The 21,623-nt window shown below is 36.6% G+C and overlaps 1 protein-coding gene across 15 annotated transcripts in view, besides 1 other annotated feature; it reads left to right on the forward strand.

Moving 5' to 3' along the window:
• Positions 1-21,623, forward strand: part of GRID2 (glutamate ionotropic receptor delta type subunit 2) — a 1,506,491-nt gene that overhangs the window by 1,423,232 nt on the left and 61,636 nt on the right. The window lies entirely within an intron of this gene.
• Positions 21,443-21,492: an enhancer, noted in NCBI's record as "active region_21727". NCBI's record gives its function as "activates an Ori minimal core promoter by ATAC-STARR-seq in GM12878 lymphoblastoid cells {active_cell/tissue: GM12878}" and the evidence as "EXISTENCE:reporter gene assay evidence [ECO:0000049][PMID:35858748]".

The raw sequence follows: 21,623 nt of genomic DNA on the forward strand, positions 1-21,623 counted from the left end.
GTTGTTGAATTTTGTCAAAGGCCTTTTCTGCATCTATTAAGATAATCATGTGGTTTTTGTTTTTGGTTCTGTTTATATGCTGGATTACATTTATTGATTTGCGTATGTTGAACCAGCCTTGCATCCCAGGGATGAAGCCCACTTGATCATGGTGGATAAGCTTTTTGATGTGCTGCTGGATTCGGTTTGCCAGTATTTTATTGAGGATTTTTGCATCAATGTTCATCGAGGATATTGGTCTAAAATTCTCTTTTTTGGTTGTGTCTCTGCCAGGCTTTGGTATCAGGATGATGCTGGCCTCATAAAATGAGTTACGGAGGATTCCCTCTTTTTCTATTGATTGGAATAGTTTCAGAAGGAGTGGTACCAGTTCCTCCTTGTACTTCTGGTAGAATTCGGCTGTGAATCCATCTGGTCCTGGACTTTTTTTGGTTGGAAAGCTATTGATTATTGCCTCGATTTCAGATCCTGTTACTGGTCTATTCAGAGATTCAACTTCTTCCTGGTTTAGTCTTGGGAGAGTGTATGTGTTGAGGAATTTATCCATTTCTTCTAGATTTTCTAGTTTATTCACATAGAGGTGTTTGTAGTATTCTCTGATGGTAGTTTGTATTTCTGGGGATCGGTGATGATATCCCCTTTATCATTTTTTATTGCATCTATTTGATTCTTCTCTCTTTTCTTCTTTATTAGTCTTGCTAGCAGTCTATCAATTTTGTTGATCCTTTCAAAAAACCAGCTTCTGGATTCATTAATTTTTTGAAGGGTTTTTTGTGTCTCTATGTCCTTCAGTTCTGCTCTGATCTTAGTTATTTCTTGCCTTCTGCTAGCTTTTGAATGTGTTTTCTCTTGCTTTTCTAGTTCTTTTAATTGTGATGTTAGGGTGTCAATTTTAGATCTTTCCTGCTTTCTCTTGTGGGCATTTAGTGCTATAAATTTCCCTCTACACACTGCTTTAAATGTGTCCCAGAGATTCTGGTATGTGGTGTCTTTGTTCTCGTTGGTTTCCAAGAACATCTTTATTTCTGCCTTCGTTTCATTATGTACCCAGTAGTCATTCAGAAGCAGGTTGTTCAGTTTCCATGTACTTGAGCAATTTTGAGTGAGTTTCTTAATCCTGAGTTCTAGTTTGATTGCTCTGTGGTCTGAGAGACAGTTTGTTATAATTTCTGTTCTTTTATATTTGCTGAGGAGTGCTTTACTTCCAACTATGTGGTCAATTTTGGAATAGGTGTGGTGTGGTGCTGAAAAAAATGTATATTCTGTTGATTTGGGGTGGAGAGTTCTGTAGATGTCTATTAGGTCTGCTTGGTGCAGAGCTGAGTTCAATTCCTGGGTATCCTTGTTAACTTTCTGTCTTGTTTTTCTGTCTAATGTTGACAGTGGGGTGTTAAAGTCTCCCATTATTATTGTGTTGGAGTCTAAGTCTCTTTGTAGGTCACTAAGGACTTGCTTTATGAATCTGGGTGCTCGTGTATTGGGTGCATATATATTTAGGATAGGTAGCTCTTCTTGTTGAATTGATCCCTTTACCATTATGTAATGGCCTTCTTTGTCTCTTTTGATCTTTGTTGGTTTAAAGTCTGTTTTATCAGAGACTAGGATTGCAACCCCTGCCTTTTTTTGTTTTCCATTTGCTTGGTAGATCTTCCTCCATCCTTTTATTTTGAGCCTATGTGTGTCTCTGCATGTGAGATGGGTTTGCTGAATACAACACACTGATGGGTATTGACTCTTTTTCCAGTTTGCCAGTCTGTGTCTTTTAATTGGAGCATTTAGCCCATTTACATTCAAAGTTAATATCATTATGTGTGAATTTGATCCTAACATTATGATGTCAGCTGGTTATTTTGCTCGTTAGTTGATGCAGTTTCTTCCAGGCCTGAGATGAGGTTTAACTATGTTGGTCAGGCTGATCTTGAACTCCTGACCTCATGATCCGCCCACCTTGGCCTCCCAAAGTGCTGGGATTATTCATGTGAGCCACCATGCCCGGCCCGTTCCAGAGTTTTTAATAAGAATATCTGGGAGCTAAAGAAGAGTGCATTTAGTCAGCAAGCCACTTATGGATCCGCTGAATAAAATATCAAGTTCTAGTAAATTTCAATCTACAGACAGGAGATCCAGGATGAGACAAGACTGAAAAACCTCTAAATTCAGATTACAGTTTAGAAAAGAAATAAAATCTCTGGATTTCCAGGTATTACTGGAATAACACCACCTCTATACTCCAACAGTGTCGTATGTCTTCTTCAATACTATTTCTGCTACCTGTGACACTCTTTCTTCCTCCCCTCCCCTTTCTTGCTAACTCTGCTAATACCACTTCCTCAGATAATACAGATAATCATTTTCTTTTTTTTTTTGAGATGGAGTCTCACTTTGTTGCACAGGCTGGAGTGCAGTGGCACGATCTTGGCTCACTGCAATCTCCACCTCCTAGGTTCAAGCGATTCTCCTCCCTCAGCCTCCCGAGTAGCTAGGATTACAGGTGCCCACCACCACACCCAGCTAATTTTTATATTTTTAGTAGAGATGGAGTTTATAGGCATGAGCCACCATGCCCGGCACAGAGAATCATTTTCTGAAACACCAAAGCTAAGTTAGGAGCTTCTTTTGTACTTACTGCGTAACACTCTGCACTTTGATTTATGGCACCCAATGCATGTATAATTAAATGGTTCAGCTTCAGCATCTATCTCTGAAATTGTGGACATGCAATTTCCAGGACAGCAGAGAGACTGTGCTTTCTTTTCATCCCTGTGTCTCTAGGGCCTAATACAGAGCCTGGCACATTAGGCAATACTCAATAAATATATTAAGTATATGAATGATGAATGAGTGAATGAATGAATGCATGAATACATAAATAAGTTGCCTCTGGACCATCCAAGCAGATATATTTAGTAGACCACTGGAATTATCATTCTGAGTGCGAAAGAGAGATTAGGGATGGCAATAAAGATTGAAGAGTCATCAGGTTACAAGTGGTAGTGAAATTCATAGGAGAGAATAAATCTCTTAGGAAGAGTAAAATTGCAGAAGACTGAAGACAAACAAGGGATGTAGATCTCATGGAAACAATTCAGAAAACTTCCTCAGAAAATATGAGTGCAGCCTAGATAGTAGTTAAGAACTCAGATTGTTTTAGTCACACTGACTTTTAATCCCATCTCCAGGTCATATGGTGTGAACTAGGTAAGTGTGGAGCTCAGCTGTGCTGGAGACAGCTAAGCTGCCAGGTCTCAGAGCAGCTGATTAAAACAACAAGCCAAAAAATAAAAGCGACAATCAAGCCTTTAATCTCTTCCTGCAGTAGTGTAATCAACAGGCTGAACTGGAGAGCCAAGAGAGCATTGGCTCCCCCCAATCCCATTGCACTTGCCCATGGAAGATCACATTGGTCAAGATGAGGTAGATCAGCACAGATATTGGGGTCATCTTATTGCTGAGGGAGCCCCAAACAAAAGGCTTAAGCAGGGCAGGGGGTTGACAAGAAAACAACGGAAAAGAGCCAGGAGTGGAAAAGTACTGAGTACTGAGTCAGAGTAGGGACAAATGTCAAGTTTTTCCCTTTCTTCCCTGTAAGGTGGTTTCAGCAGAGGCACCTGAAGGTGGCCCCTGCCAAAGGCTCCAAACAAAGAGAGCTCTGAATGATGGCACTGGGGGTAGGAATGCAAATATGCATAAACTATGGTCTGCCAGGGAGGCCTGAGGCCTTGACTGCAACTCCCTTTAGAAACTGTGCCGCGCTGGCTGCACACCAAGCCCGGCGTGGGGAGGGCAGTTTCCCCGTGACACCTGCTGGGCAAAGCTTTCGTCACTGACTATAGTTGGCCCTGAAAATCACTCACAGGTTTTTGGCCAGGAAGCAGACTGCTCAGTAAGTTACTTGAACTCTCTAAATCTCAATGTCCTGATCTATGCCTACCTCGTGATTTGTAAAAAAACTTTGCTAAATTCTTGGCATATATGCAGTGCTCCATAAATGAGAACCCACAGGAGCAGGTTGAGGCGCAGGGGCACCACTGAGACTAAGAGAACAGAGGCCAAGAAGGTCATGACTGAAAATCATCTGTTGCAGTCGACAACTGAGTTGTTAGTGACCTTGGGAGAGTAGATTCAGTGGAGCAAAGACAATGAAAATTAGAGCGCAATAGGTTATCAGCAAATGGAAGGCAAGGGAGAGCGGACAGGAATCATCCACTAGTCTATGAAGATGTTGGTGACAATGAGAACGTGTGTGCAGCTGATGAAGATACATGAGACTGTACAGCTGTCATCTGATTTGTAAGGAATTTGTCCCCTGAATGCCCTTAAACCACAATAAAATCATTAGTATGGTTTTAAAAGCTAACTGAGTACATTGTTTTAGAGAAGATGGAGACTACAGCAAGGCAGGGAAGAGAAAAAGCCCCAGGACCTGGGGTGAAGCCTTCTAAGCAGAGTCAGTGACAGCTGAGTCACGCAGAGGACTCTGATGTCACCACAGAGCTTGTGGTATGCAGACTCATTCCAGATGGGCAGGCTTTCCTTCAGGATCCCTCACTTATCTCTTCTCCTCTCTAAAAGACTAGACACTTTCCACCACTACTAGCCCTCTTTCTGTACATCTGTCAGCTTTTATCCCCAGAAAGCCTGGGCCTTGACAGTCCTCATCCCTGTTGCTCTCTGTTTCTGTAAGCCAAGTTTTGCTTCTGTTCAGCAGACTGAGAAACATCACAGACCCGTCTTCGCACAGAATCCAGCAAGGATAGGATCTCTTCTCCTGACTCAACCAGAAATAAATTTACATAATTTATTACACATTAATATTTTTGAAACTAAGGACAGACCGTGGTTCCTCTGTAAAGACTGAAGCATCAAGAAAAATCAGCAGCTATTCTAAAGAGGCAAAAACATAAAACCCCCATCAGAATCCCATTACAGTACTGAGACCATAGGAGAAAGCTAACATGCATATCATAGATTTTCCATGGAGGATGTGAATCCATAGCATAGTGAGGCCTATGTAAGAGGATTTATTATACTTTTTATGTGACAATAATATTTCCAGGGCTTTCAGGTACACCTAGTACAAAGGCTTTTCCTAGTACTAAAATGCCACAAGAGACACATGAAGCTCAGTAACTCTTTAAGTTGTAGCTTAAATCACCCAGATTTTTGCATTTGAAAGAAAGCATAGAATGCATGCACAATCAATGTAAAGTATTACATAAAATAATTTAATCATATACAACTCAGCAGGTTTATGCCTGCTGCCATTTCTCTCCTGTTTCTTTAGTAGACTATCATTTTCTGCCTCTGCTGTTTACAGGAATATATTTTATTTCAAAAGCAAGATTTTTCTTGGCACTCAACTCATCCATGACTTTATTGTTGAATTTTTTTTAATGTTATAACTCAACTCTTTGTGTGGTTAAAATGGCTGAGGCTCTTTTATGTTGTTCTTATGTTTTCTTCCCCCATCAAGCATTCTGACCGCTGCTGTCAAAATCTGATAATAAATGAAGATTTCTCCCACAGTGGACCTCTTATAACCATGGCAACTCCATCAGCAGCTAATGGTCACATTACAAAAATGCTTTTGAAAAAGGCAGCTTCTCACATTGCTTTAGTACAAATGTCCTTTCCTTACCTTCTCTCCATAATAATTCTAAGAAAACAACACATCCCAAGCAAACATTTGCTTTGTTGTGCATATGTGGGGTCACTTTAAAAAATAAAAAAAAAAAAAGAAGAGAAACTACAAATAATAAAAGAGAAAGATTATTTGAAAGCATGGCACTAAAGTAGGAAATGATACTGATGGCTTAGCAGCATTAACAACATATTTGTATTGTTTTTACAACTGAAGTCAATGCAGCTATTGCTTCTTAAGAATTTGATAATTTTTATTGCTGTTACTTCACCCTACCATCAAATTAGGGAGGCTTTCTAAAATGCTTATTTTAGGTTTCATATGAATTGTCTCTGAGCAATTGGTCACTTGTGGGAAATGCAGCTATATGTACACACTGATATATCTTCTTTTCTGTCTGAGACTTTCATGTGCTTTTATATATCCTTGAAAAAACCCCATAGGAGAATTAGCATATGGACTTTTCAGCCTGCCTCACACAGGTTCACAACAGAAATTCCTGTCTGAGCTCTGCTCTTAGACACTCAAAAGTGCTCTGGCTTCCTTATTTACAAAGTAGATCAAAACTAGTTTCTAACATAGAAATTTTCTCCAAGTGCCTGCTTCTGAAATGGCCTGCCTGTTAAAACAAAGGAGGATGTTTTCCACATTAACTTCTTGTTAAAATGATGTATCTGTCTGAATGGAAATAATAGGCATTCAGATAGAGTTCTCTATCTCCATCCATATGTCACTCTGTCTGTCTACCTACCTACCTGTCTATAAATACCTACCCAAGGAAAGAGACTTCCTCAAATCCCAAACATTTCAGTGCTTGAGTTTTGTTTTGTTTTGTTTTCCCCCAATTTGCTTTCAAATATCAATCGTGATCAAAAAGTAACCACAGATTAGAACTCAGTGTCAGATTTCCAAATCTGCAGGATCTGTTGATGCTAATGACACTAATATTAGGTACATTTCATAAATGTAAATAATTCTCTCCCTCTAAGGTTTTCAGAACTAAATGGTCTATGTAGGACAGACCTAAGAGTAGGAATGCCCCAGGCCACAGAGCAAGCAGCAAAGCTATTTTATTAACCTTAATTACAATTTGATTTTTACCTTGCCCAAAACCTGCTTTTTTAAAACTCTTCTTAAATGTATCCTTTCTCTATAAAGGTCCTTTAATCATGGTGGATAGGCTTTATAGTTAAGACCTCCTTAGATTTGCATTGAAACTCTGCTTCTTTCTGCTGGTAAACTGGGCAAGTTACTCAAACTCACTTAATGTCAAAGCATTTATTTGTAAAACCAGAATGATAAAAGTTCTCCCTCAGAGGATAGCTGAGAACAATAGTTGGCTTAATACATATGAAAACACCCAGCTCTGTAATTAGAAGAAACTAAATTCTCCAGGAATATTTTCCCCCCATTTTTTCTTCCCCATCATTCCTAATTCTCACTCTCTCCTTTTCCTTAGAATAAGTAGTCATGAGATTAGGCTCATCTTTCTGATTTGCTCATCCATTTTATAAGTCATTTTTATAAGAGCGTAAAATTATTTGCAATCTGGTAAGATAAAACAAGTTGAACTGTTGACTGCAAGATTGTCAGTAGTGAATGTTTGGTTTCCCTTATTGAAATCAAAAGTTACAAAATTTCATAACATACATAAAATCACCACCACAAAAATCCATCTTTCCCAACATAAAATTAAATTAAAAATAAAATGAGTGTCTGTTAGCATATCAAAAAATGATGTTTCCCTTTTGAACTAGTTCACCAAGTTCATGCAGAAGAATGAACTTGGAGAATTCTATCACCGACAGCCCAGACAACAGACTGTGGCCTGATATTACTTATCTTAGTGGTGGGAGTGTATGAGGTTGGTAGGAAAACAACAGCAACAAATAAAAATGCCAGGATGGTCTACAGAAAAAGTTTATTTAAAATTTTTTAAGGCAAATTTTAGAGAAAGTTTCAAAAGGGAACATTGCACGCCATTAATTTTTGCCCTGGCACACAAACTTTCATCCTTTAGAAGGAACCAGAATAAATTTGAAGCTTTTAATAAAATATTTCATGGGGTAACAAAAGCAACATTAAACATTAATAAATAAGTCTTTGCTGCAAATTCATTTTGAAGTGTAGTCATCCAAGTGCAATATGCATTGTGTAAATGTAACTTTTGGAAATATTAATACTAATAAAGTCTGAGTTCATGAAATGTTCTTGCCTGTCATCTTGAGACCAAGATGCATCGTCAAATTGCAAGCAAACATTGTGAAATCAAAACCCAGGGCTGTTGGCTCAGTGAGATGCTGAATGAGAAATTGTTAAGTAAAAAAGACCAAAGGGAGAAAAAATGTTGTTCTATAACTAAACAAATGGAATCAGTAAAAAGTCATTATTTCTCTAAGTACACATTTGACTACACAAAGGAGCCACTGTGTTCATCCAATGTGTCCCAGTGGTCATAGGCCTTGGTTATTCAAAAAGGACTTTTTCTTTTTTGTCATTACCCCTACCTTCTGTACTGTATACAACCTAAAGAAAGTTTTATGTATACAACCAACAATTCATTTTCCACATGTAATTTTATTTTTTTCTTTCAAAGGCCAAATCTTCCATTGGAATAAAAAAAAATCACCAACTCTTTAAGTTCTTTCATTTTCTATCTAAGCCTCCATATTATATAGAAAAACTGATATTGCCTCTTTAAGAAGTGTAATTTTACCTACATTGATCAATGTAACTCTGGTTCTTTACAAAAATGATGGAAATGTTCCCAGCTCAAATTATAATTTCAGGCATTAAATGATAGGTTCCCTTAGAAAATGTGAGCACGTTTTCTTTAGGGCAATGTTGACATTGGCTAGTCAATAAAATAATGTTTTCTTCTGTATTAACTCATTTAGTGGAAACAAGTTCAGGGTTGGCCAGCCTACATGACCACCTTAGTGAAATCCTGAAATGTGTTATTGTTTTCTCAGGTAAGTATTGAGAAGCAGGAAATTTTTCTTTTTCTGTTTTGTTATTGTTGATGTTGTTATTGCTGTTCTTCATGATGACATCAACTGACATATGCCTAGCATTCTGTGTACTATGCAGGGAAACTAATTCAGTGTACTATGGAGAGAACTAACTCAGAAAAGAATGAGAAAGAGGATACTGGGAAAGAGGAAAGGAGGAAAAGTCACTTTGTAATTTAGTATAATCTAAGTACCAAGACTGTATTTCTGTTCAAAACGAACAACAAAAAAGGTGAAAGGCATTGTCTGTCTACTGGAAAATTCTAAGTTTATTAAACACAAAAATTCCCTTCCTAAGAGATTTCTGAGATTCCCTATTTTGGCCAAAGTTATACATGATGATGATGATTAGCACACAAAGATAATAAATAATGAAGAAATCAGTGAATATGACTTAATAGAAATGTCCTTATATTTTAAGACCCACTATAGCACTTACTCTGCTGCTAGGCACTCCTCTAAGCATCCTACAAATTTTAATTCATATCATACTTGTAACAACCCCAGGAGATGCATTCTATTATTATCCAATCTTACAAGACAAGAAATTGGACCAAATAGAAGTTGTTTGTCCAAAGCTACATAGCTAACAATAATATAGTCAAACTTTAAATCAAGCATTCTGGCTTCTGAGACTATGCCTTAATACCCATTAACCATGCTGCCTCAATGTGCTATTTAGCAGAAGGTAAGCCTGCTTACATTGTCAGGTTGATGTACCTATATTCGGCTCTTTTAAGTTGTATTGGTAGTCACTCAATATTTCAGATAGTCTATTGGGGCTTCTAAAATAATAATGGTTTGCTATTCATTAATAATTACTAATAATAAGTCAATTATTATTTTAGAAGCGATAGTGATCCATTATTATTTTAGAAGGAATATTTGATTTTTTTTAGTAGTTTAGGATATTGGCATTAAATCTAAGAGAAAAGCCTGAAGTAAAGGCATGGCTCCAATTTTTTTTTGTATTTATGGTAATCCTACAGGTTGTTACCTTACAGACTTGCTCAAAAAAAAAAAAAAAAAAATCCATCAATGAGCCCAAAACCTGAGGTTGTGGATGACCTTTGATTTAAGGGACTTGAAAGGGTCTCCAGATCACCATCATTGAGGTAACACGTTGAGCTTTGGAGACAGACAAATTTGAGGTTTCATTCTCACCTTACCATGTACTATCTTTGTATCCTTAGGCACATTCTTAATCTCTCAGCAGCTAATGATTTTTAGTTGTAAAATGGAACTAATAATGTAGTTTCTTGGAGTTGCTTGGAGAATTTACATATGATGCCATAGTAAAAGCTCAAAGAGTGTTAGTTCCTTTCCTTTTTATTGACAATATCATGACTATAATTATATTTTCAAGTAAAATGGGTATTTCACAACACGTTATCTCTGTCTGCAAATTTCTGCAAATAACTTTAAGATATCAAAGATTTCGTGAAATTGAACATCTTTGAGAGAGAGAAAGAGGATAAAGTAGATTGTCATGATCCTACCTTCTACACCTCAAATCTCCACCACTAGATTTGACTTAAACAAAATACAGAGGACATTATCACTAGAAGGCTACATTTTAAATGTTTGGGTTTCAGCTAGGCATCATTACTCACACCTGTAGTTCCAGCATTTGGGGAGGATGAGACAGGAGGGTCACTTGAGGCAAGGAGTTCCAGACAAGCATAGACAACATAGCAAGACCCTGTCTCTATAAAAAATTAAAAAATAAAATAAAATGAGTGTCTGTTAGCATTTCAAACATTAATTAAATATTTCAGATTATTTAGGTCAGTAAATAGTACATTTCCCCCTGCAAAGACACTTGTTTCCCACATTGACCCTCATATCGAAAGATTCCATCTCTCAAGAAAATTGAGTTTATGTAGTAATACTTAATTTAACTCCCATTTTCATTGAAATCCTATATACAGATATAGTCAAGTTTCTTATCAGCATGAAACCACTAGTGTGCTCACACCTAATTGATAAAATTCCAACCCAAAGCAAAGAAACTTAACATATTCACTCATCTTTATTGTCTTATTGCAAGCTAATTGTTGTAGACTGTAAAACTATTCATCAATAATTAGTTCATATCCATGATGGAAGATTATATTTCCCAGTCCTGTTAAATTCAGGTGTGGCCATATGACTTGCTTTGGCCAAGATATGAACGGATTGGAATATGTTAATTCCAGGTGAAAGTTTTCAGAGTAGTCCAGAGCTGAGACCTGAAGGATTAATAAATATTAGCCAGGTAAAGAGAAGAGAAAAGCTATTCTAGACAGAGGAAATAGCATGTGTTAAACCTGGAAGAGATTGGCAAACCCAAGCCTTTAGGTTAGTGTAATTAGAGAGACTCCTGGACTGCAGTAGTAGGAAAGAGGTAAGATGGTACAAATTTGTTCGTCATATCAAGGACTTTATATTTTTTAGCAAGTGCAGTAGGAATCCATATAAGGGTTATGAGCATGGAAGTGACATGATCCGATTTAGTTTTGTAAGGAGAGCTCAGGGTTTTGTACACAGAACAAATTGGAGACAGAGATAGTGGAATCTGTTAACCACATAAAAGACTAACATGATTATCCAGGCTGGAACTGATAGTGGCTTGACCCAGAGCAATGGCTGTGGAGGCGCAACAAGAGGGTAGATTTTAAATATAACTAGGGGAAGACTTAATAAATGCCTAATAGACTTAATGATAGATAGAATGTAGAAATAGAATAATAGGGAGTCAGAAGGATGACTTTGGGGCTCTAAATTAAGTGACTAGGTGGAAGGAGACTCCATTTATGGTGACAAGGAAAACTTGCAGATGTGCACACTTGGAGAAGGAGAGCAAATATATTTAACCTGAGAACATAATATGGAGATCCCACTGAGCAGGTGATGCTTAGAGAAGTAATCTGGACAGGTAACAGATTATTAGATTATTAGAAAGATTATTATAATATGATTATTATGATGGAATTATTTAGAAAGAGAGTAGAAAAGGAGAAGAGAATATAAAAGCCCCTGCTATCCAGGTCTGAGTAACTCTAACATTCAACTGGAGAGAGGAAGAGGAATGTGATAGGAAGACTGAGAAAAACAGAGTTTTAATAAATCGACTCCCACTGGAAAGCACTTAATTGATTCTTCAGCTTGAAGATATAGGATGGGTATATTTTCCTAAAAGAGAGCAGCCATCAGTAGATTCTGAATCTGGGTCAGTCAGGAGCTACTGACTGACCTCAGGGGATGATAGAAGAGGGAAGGGGCACAGCTTCTTTGCTAAGCGTTGGTGAAACTTCAGCTTCTTCACAGTTTTATTTAAGGCCAAACCATTTCTTTATTTTCTACGGTGTTTCCTCAAAAAAAGACACTATTGTCACTCTGTATGTTTGCATTTAACACACTAGTATGTTTAAACTGTGTTTATAGTCTTCTAGAAGCTGTATAAACAATTTGGGTCCCGCCACAAACTAGGTACAATTTCTTCAACTATAGCCTAGTGGTACAAGAAGCCATTTCCATGTAAAAATCATTGTTTTTGCACCCCCTCATCATGCCACATAGATTCAGGTGCTTTCACCTTCCTCAAACTGCAGGGCCCATGTTACTTATAGCTGCAAATTGGCCCACTGGATATAAAAATTCCTAAAGGGGAGAAAAAACATGGGATTATCCCATTTTTAAAGGGATAACTATTTAGACATATTGTCCTTGGTCTAATCACTCACCTGTCCCTGACTTGATATTAGGTACTTTAAGGGACTCCTAATTTGAAGGAAAAGTTGCCACTATCCAAAAAATGATGCCGTTTCTCTCACCCCACCCGGCTAAGGTGAGAGCACCTGGTAACCAACTTCCTTCAGTACATTTATCCTCCAGAGAAATTTGCCTAATAAATTCCAAGAGCTTAACAAATACTAGTTTTCTCATTTTCTGCCTAATGCAAGCTTAGAACTCAGCTTCCGGTTGACCTGATTACTTTCCTGAATTCTAGGCCCTTTATCAATGCTAACAATAAAGGCCAGTCTCATATCTACTGTTTTATTTAATAGTCACAATAACCCTATAAAATTCATCTTCATAAAAATGCCACCCTGCCTCTTGTTCAGGCAGGAATTTTCTTGAAAGACAAATTTTAAGTTACCCTTGATTGAGGCTTTAGAAACAATAGTCATGCATGACATAATGACATTTCAGTCAACAAAGGACCATATAGAAGACGGTGGTCCCATGAGATTATAATGCTGTATTTTTACTGAACCTTTTCTATGTTTGGATATATTTAGATACACAAATAATTGCCTAGAGTATTCAGGATAGTAACATGCTGTACAAGTGTGTAGCCTAGGAGCAATAGGCTACACTGTATAGCCTATGTGTGTAGTAGTCTATACCATCTAGGTTTGTGTTAAGTTTACTCTCTAATGTTCACACAATGACAAAATTGCCTAGTGATGCATTTCTCAGAACATATCTCCGCCAAGCAACCCATGACTGTATTTCAGAGCTCATGGCAGCAACCTCACGTTCCAATAAGCTACGCAGAACCCTGGGTAGTTTTTGGGAACTGACTTACCCATCTTCTACAATCCGGTTAGACTTAGCTCTCTAATCCATCTAGACCAGCTATTTTCTTTGGTCATTTCTATTGTCTCAATCACTTACGTTAAAGAAAGTCTTTTAGAGATGTTAATCAGGAAGTGCTAACCAGGCTGCTGGAGTTGCTGTAGCGCCAGCCTCAGATCTTTTGAGACATAAAGTGTATAGATACATATGTGCGTTACTTACGTTCCTGTCAGTCAACTGGTTGTCTCATCATCTTCAGAACCATAAGACATAACCTAAAATGATGCTTGAACTTACTTCTTAAAATCTAAAACCACATTTCTCACATAGTCATCACACATATATTTCTAATAGGATAGTACAATACAGTGATAATTCACCTCTCTGTATAGTCTACTTGGGGGGGCAAGGATATTTAAATTTCAATGGCCTGAATTCCAGTCTTGGTTCTACTATTTTTTTTTTTTTAGTGATCTTAACTTTTTTGAGCTTCAGTTCATTTTTTCCTCTTCTGTCCTACTTACCTGCAAGGAGTATTATGGAGCTGAATTAAGATAATACATTTGAAAGCAATAAAGAGTATTTTTCATATCTGGTTGATAATAATTTAATGACTACATAGTTTCAACAAAATACTTCTATATATTAAGGCTGGTTTCAGTTCCTGTCTCAATCTCATTTTGCCCACAAAGAAGAGAATAATCAAGATTAGTGGTTCCCATAACTAACTGATTTCACCTGAGAAACTATATATATATATACATATATATATATATATATATATATATGTATATATATATATATTCTCAGACTCTACTTACCAAGGTTTTGACTCAATGGACCAAGATACAGACCCAGGAGCCTGTATTTTTTAAATGCTCCTCATGTAAATTGCTACAGCTTTTTGGAGGAAGATGGCAATGAGTGTTAACATTTAAAATATACTTACCCTTTAACCTGATAATTTTACTTCCTGCCAGCATACTTCAACAAGGGCAGAAAGATATACATGCAAATATGTTTATCATAGCTTTGTTTATACTAAAAAGACAACTTTTTATCAACAGGAGACTAAATAAATGATGGCACATTTATACAGTGGAAACTTAGGCAGTTGTTAAATAATGAAATGCTGGCATTAACAGATGTCCATGGCACACATTATTCTTAAATTTTTAACAAGCAAATTAAACAACAGTTTTATGATCTTTTTGATGAAATGTTAAAAGTGTTGGCCGAGCACAGTGGCTCACGCCTGTAATCCCAACAACTTGGGAGGCCGAGGCGGGCCTCCTGAGGTCAGGAGTTCGAGACCAGCCTGGCTAACATGGTGAAACCCCATCACTACTAAAAATACAAAAATTAGCTGGGCATGGTGGTGCACGCCTGTAATCCCAGCTACTTGGGAGGCTGAAGCAGTAGAATCACTTGAACCCAGGAGGCAGAGCTTGCAGTGAGCCAAGATAGTGCCATTGCACTCCAGCCTGGGTGACAAGAGTGAGACTCTGTCTCAAAAAAAAAAAAAAAAAAGTGTTTGTGGTGTGTTTGTTCATGTGTGGGTGTATAACAGACACACATTGAACCACTAACTATGGCCAAATCTAGGAAATAGGTTTGGGAAATAGAGCAAGGGAAATGTGAGATTTTACTTTTTAATCAATACAATTAAACTTTTTTTCTTACAGTTATGATTCACAATCATCTACATTTTTATTGTCAATGTCATCACTTAGCAGCTTCCTTAAATTGCCCCCAAATATACCCTGAACACTAATTTCTTCATTCATTTAGCCTATGAATAAATATGAGTAGTTATGCCCAATAAGTGCCAAGTGCTGTTCCAGGCACTAGCAACAAGCCAGACTACAAGCTTTGTCCTCATGGATTAAGCATCCTAACTTTTCTGAGCCTTAGTCCTTCCATCTGTGAGACTGATATATTACTCTCATAGAGTATTCTGAGGATGAAATTAAACGATGTGTGTAAAGTACCTAACATAGAATATAGCACCATAGATGTGCTCGGTTATTGTAAGCTACAATACAAGCATATGTGGTTTTACTGCACTTTGCTTTATTGTGTTTACAAATTGAAGGTTTATGTCAACCCTGCAAGTCTATCAGAGCCATTTTCCAAAAGCATGTGCTCACTGTGTCTCTGCATCACATTTTAATAATTCTCGCAATAGTTCAGACTTTTTCATTATTATTGTATTTGTTAGGCTGATATGTGATCAGTGATCTTGATGTTACTATCATAATTGTTTTGGGGCACAATAAACCGAACCCAGAGAAGATGGCAACCTCAGTCAATAAGTGTTATGTGGGTTCTGACTGCCCCACTCACGGACCATTCCCCTCATATCTCTCCTTCTCCTCTGGCCCTCCTGTTTGCTGAGACACAACATTGAAATTTGGCTAAATAATAACCCTACAATAGCTTCTAAGTGTTCAAATGAAAAAACAAAAAGAGTCTCTTTCATTTGAACACATGTCTCTCTCTTGAATCGAAAACTAGAAATAATTAATGAGGAAGGCATGTTGAAAGCTGAGATAGGCCAAAAGTTAGTTGTCTTGTGCCAGTTAGCCCAGTTGTGAATGCAAAGGAAAAGTTCTTGAAGGAAATTAAAAGTGCTACTCCAGTGAACATATGAATGATAAGAAAGTGAAACAGCCTTATTACTGAAAATGGAGAAAGTTTAATTGGTCTGGATAGAAGATCATACCAGCCATAATATTCCCTTAGGCCAAAGCCTAACCCAGAGCAAGATCCTAATGCTCTTCAACTCTGTGGAGGCTGAGAGAAAAGAGGAAGCTGCAGAAGAAAAGTGGAAGCTATCAGAGATTGGTTCATAAAGTTAAAGAAAAGAAGCCATCTCCATAACATAAAAGTGCAGGGTAAAGCCACGGGTGCTAACATGGAAGCTACAGCAAGTTCTCTAGAAATTCTAGCCAAGATAATAGATGAAGGTGGCTACACTAAACAACAGATTTTCAATGTAGACGAAACAGCTGTCTTAGTCTGTTTTGCTTTGCTATAAAGAAATACCTGAGACTGAGTAATTTATAAAGAATAAAGGTTTTTTGGTTCATGATTCTTCTCGCTGGAAGATTGGGCATCTGGTGGAAGCCTCAGGGTGCTTCCTCTCATGGTGGAAGGTGAAGAGGAGCTGCTGTGTGCAGAAATTCCATGGTGAGAGAGGAAGCAAGAGAGAGAGGGAATGTGCCAGACTCTTTTTAATAACCAGCTTTTGTGGAATCAATAAAGTAATAACTCACTCATCCCCAAGGAAGGGCATTAATTTATTCATGAGGAATCTGTCAAGATAACACAAATATTTCCCATTAGGCCCCACCTAATGGGAATCAAGTTTCAGCATGAGATTTGGAAGGGACAAACATCCAAACTATAGCAATTGCCCTCTATTGGAGGAAGATGCTGTCTATCACTTTCATAGCTAGAGAGTAGAAGTCAATGCTTGACTTCAGAGCTTCAAAGGACAGCCTATCTTGTTAAGGCTGAATACATTTGGTGACTTTCAATGCTCATTTACCATTCCAAAAGTCCTTAATAATTATGCCAAATCTTCTACTCTGCTTATACTCTATAAATGGAACGATAAAGCCTGGGTGACAGCACATCTGTTTATAGCTTGGTTTATAACACATTTTAAGCCCAATGTGGAGACACTGCTCAGAAAACAAGATTCCTTTCAAAATATTACTGCTCATTGGCAATGCACCTGGTCACCCACGAACTCTAATAGTAATGAACAAGGAGATAATGTTGTTTTCGTGCCTGCTAACACATTTATTCTGTGGCCCATGAATCAAGGAGTAGTTTTGACTTCCAAGTCTTATTATTTAAGAAATACATTTTGGCTGTAGCTACCATAGACAGACAATCTGGGCAAACTAAATTGAAAAACCTTCTGGAAAGGAGTCACCATTCTATACACCATAATCTTCAGGATTCATGGAAAGAGGACAAAATATCAACATCAACAAGAGTTGGGAGGAAGTTGATTCCAATCCTCATGGATAACTTTGAGGGAGTTTAAGACTTTATTGGAGGAAGTAACTGCAGATGTGGTGGAAATAGAAAGAGAAATAGAATGGAAGCGGAGCCTGAAGATGTGACTGAATTGCTGAAATCTCATGATAAAACTTGAACGGATGAGCAAAGAAAGTGGTTTCTTGAGATAGAAGCTACTCCTGGTGAAGATGCTGTGAACACTGTTGAAATAACAAAGGATTTTGAATATTTCATAAATTTAGTTGATAAGACAGAGGCAGGGTTTGAGAGGGCTGACTCCATTTCAAAAGACATTCTACTGTGGATAAAATGCTATCAAACAGCTTTGCATGCTATAGAGAAATCTTTTGTGAAAGGAATAAGAATTGATACAGCAACCCTCATTGTTATCTTACTTCAAGAATGGCTACAGCCACTCCAACTTTCAGCAACCACCCTGCTGATCAGTTACCAGCTGTCAATGCTTGGGCAAGACTCTCCACTAGCAAAACAACTGTGACTCACAGAAAGCTCAGATTATTATTAGCATTTTTAGCAAAAATATTTTTAATTAAGGTATGTACTTTTTTAGGAATAATGCTATTATATTTTTAATAGACTGTGGTATAGTGTAAACATAAATTTTGTATGTACTGGGAAAACAAAAACATGACTTGCTTTATTACAGTGGTCCTGAACTGAACCTGCAATATCTCTGATGTATGGCTGTAATTGTTATTGCTGTCATCATCACCATTTTTTTCATGACCAACTGCTCGATCCAGTGTAGGTTTTCTGGGGAAAAAATAAATTTCATCTCAAGAACGTTAATTGCTGACCTTGTAAACAATGTGAACTACATTTCCTTTACTGAATCACAGCAGACTTAGAAAAAAAGAGAGAATAGAAATCAATTCAATGAGAGAAAAATGTTGCCTTCTATTTATTTAATACATCCCTTAGCTACAGAATTCTTATTTCCTCGGTTTAACAAAGTAGATTACACAGCAGAGGCTGATGCACATTTATAAAAATATATGACATTTTGTTTATGTCAGTGGGGATGAGGAATCTTTTTTTTTTGGAGATAAGAGTACCAAAGGGCAGTGAGTGGCCCCTTAATCCTAATAGCAGATACTTCCATGAGTGAAAACCACAGTTAATGAAGCTCTGAAAGTGAACCTCTTTTTACATTTGTACTTGATTTTGAAACATGCAAAACATAGTTGAAGCCAGTGTGAGCTTCTCTTTCGTAAGGACTCAGAAGCTAAATATGGAGCCAAGTTTAACTATCCAATTAAATGTACTGTTTACAAATGAAAACAATTATATTTTCAATTAACAGGAAGATGAAAAATGCAATTACTTTAGCTATGGCATATTTTATTTTATTTCTTTTTTGTTTGTTTGTTTGTTTTATTTTGACTTTGTGCTGCAGGCAGAGTTAATTAACTCTTTCAGCAAAGGAAAAGAAAAACATTAAACAATGATTATGTGTGAATTTCCTGGAGTGATCCCAGTTAGGTAGCAGGGGCTTGATTGTCTGATTCTGTGAGCTCTAAAAGAAACCCCAAGGTAAATAGAAGTACTGCAGATAGTGTAACCATGAGCAACAGGTATTTTTGTGTCAAAGGACCAAAAATTGTCCTTGTAAGTGTATAGGTCTTTGGTATATTCTAAAAGTTAATTTTTAAGTTGAGAAAGATAAAAGGACAAGTGGTATCCTGAAGTTCATGTGTCATAAAAATTATTTTGTGGTAGAAAGGCTAAGTCACTAAATATTCATTAAGAAATAAGTGTTGTGTAACCATTTATCTAATCATTGTACTAGGAAATAGCTACAAAAGTAAATACCATAATACAATACAATACATACAATAAAACTGCTCTTAATGAGTAGTTCTACTGTAATCAGAGTCACATGAAGCCATGACATAAGAATGCTTTATTTCATATATCTTATTTCATGGTACCCTAGCTGGGTTACTCTAGTAACTTGGTTAAGCACTAGTTTCAAAGCAGGATGGTCAATTCTTCCAACACATACAGGCCAATATAGATTGTTTTTTCCTACAAATTCTTGAACTTCAGATTTTACATTTGGATTACAGTCTTTCTCAAGAACAATCATTTTGCAACATGTTTTCATTCCTGGATTTGATCTTAGTAGGACTACCAAAATGCAAGAAAGTACAAAATGTTAAAAAAGAAAACCTCAAAGCATTTTGGTAGTCGTATTTTTATGTTTGATATGAACATTATTTAAACCAATGAAATACAATATATTGCAATACAATATTTCAAAGTAGCATATTCTTTTAAGAGATTTCCTGTTACATAGTCAGGCTATTTAATTTGCTCAGTATAATGATTAAAATAAACTTTTCTGGTGATAATGTCTATTGTGAGTATTCTAATTGGTCCACTCTGATTGTCTTGAAAATTCCCTAAGAAATTAACTCTTTTTTATAGATATAAGTGTTTTGGCAAATGTCACAGATTTTTTACAGAAGGATTAGAGAATTTTTTTCACTCTTGTCTTTTTGGTATGTATGTGTTTTATATAAGACAAGGGTGTATTCCAAAGCTACATCTAGCAAAATTTATGTTTTAGTGTTTCAAAAAAAAATCTGTGCCATGACAGTCATTAGATCTGATCATGACACTTTTGAAATATTTAGCCAAAGTCCTCTTATTCCACCGAAACACAGTTGGAAGCAATTATTTAAAACCACACATAATTTATCTGGAGGTTTTAAAACATGCCTTTGTATATAAATAGCTTTTTTCTTCCATACTGCTTTGCTTAGTTCAACTGTGAAGGCAATTAATTTTTAAAGAGTTGAAAGACCGTTCCAAAATACATTTATCTCTGCTGATCCCTAAAATTTTTCTGAGTGAACCAAATACCTAATAGACTCTACAGATAACTCTCTTGTGTAGCTCTTATCTCAGCCATAATGTTACATTCGTGTGATTATCTAACAAATGCCAGTGTTCCCTCTGCACTGTATGCTTGTGGAGAGAAAGACCATCTCCCATTGCTTGTTATTGCTCTCTAGCACCATTTCAGTGCCTGTAGTTGCATGTAAAAATTGTTCAATACTTATTTGTTAAATGAACTTTATGTAATGGGGGACACTTTGTGAAAAGTCAGTAATCACTCCTTGACTTAGTTTCACTCTTTTCATAAAGTCTAATCATATATACACAAAAACTGTTGTACATATCTATTGTTCAAGTAGGGAATAATATGTAAAATGTTTTTAGTCATTCAGTAAAATCACATACTAAAAATCAATGTCAATTTGGTTTTTTTTTTCTGTCATTGTTGATTTGACAGAAAAATCAATGTTGATTTGTTTTCCCCCCCAGTGGACAGAAATTTTTCAAGTCAAAAATTTATTAAATACTACCTGTTATTTGAAATCATTTCTTTTAAAGACATTCAAAAAATTATGACATCTTATTCGTTCTCACATCGTCACCATGAGATAAGTACTATTTTTCAACTTGCAGAGGAAATGTCTTCTACTCAAAAAAAGAAGACTATTTGGTTATATTGGTTTCTAGATTAATAAATGCCCTTGGATATATAACATCTAACAACTTAAGGAAATTCGATAAACATTTAGAAAATTAATAAGTATAAAAAGTGTTATGACCCAAAGCATAGTTTATATACTATCAAGTAAAAATGAGCTATAAAATTAACCATAATTTCACAGAAAAGAGTATTTGTTTGGAAGTCTAACAAAGTTGAGACATTATACAGAGAGACACTGTATGGGTCGATATCTCAAGTAAGCCATCATCTAAGAACCTTGCAAATGATCCATCTGAATTATATATATGATCCATCTGAATTATATATACATTATAATAAATTATAAATATGGCCAACAGTTAATTTCTTTGGTTTTTCTAAGGGTAAGTTACCCCAGTAGACAGTAATATCAATAGAATGTTTTTCATTCAGAAAGATTCATAAGACTCCACAAACTGAAATAATAGAATTTTGGAACAAGAACCTCTCTGCATCACTCAGACGACTCCTTGGAGAGTTTTAGGAAGGCCAGTTGTAATTAGTTGAAACTTGTCTTTGAACAGGCGTCTAGAGCTATTTCTTCTAGTAAGAAAAACGCCTGAAGGCACTAAGTGATTACAGGAATCGAAACCAAGATTTTACTTAAAGGCATGTGTGTAACATATCATGCGTACTCTCCTCAAAATGCCCTATGGATCTTTTTTCTTTTCTTTAATTTAGGCTCCCCAAAAAAATAATGTGTGCCAAATGATCCATTCTACTTCTTGCCAGGTCTGGCATGATATGAAGCCTGACAGGGACAATAAGGGGACAAAGCAAGGAGGAGTACTGAATTACTTTTCTTGCT

This window comes from Homo sapiens, chromosome 4 (genome assembly GCF_000001405.40).
Source record: "Homo sapiens chromosome 4, GRCh38.p14 Primary Assembly".
Taxonomy (NCBI): Eukaryota; Metazoa; Chordata; class Mammalia; order Primates; family Hominidae; genus Homo; species Homo sapiens.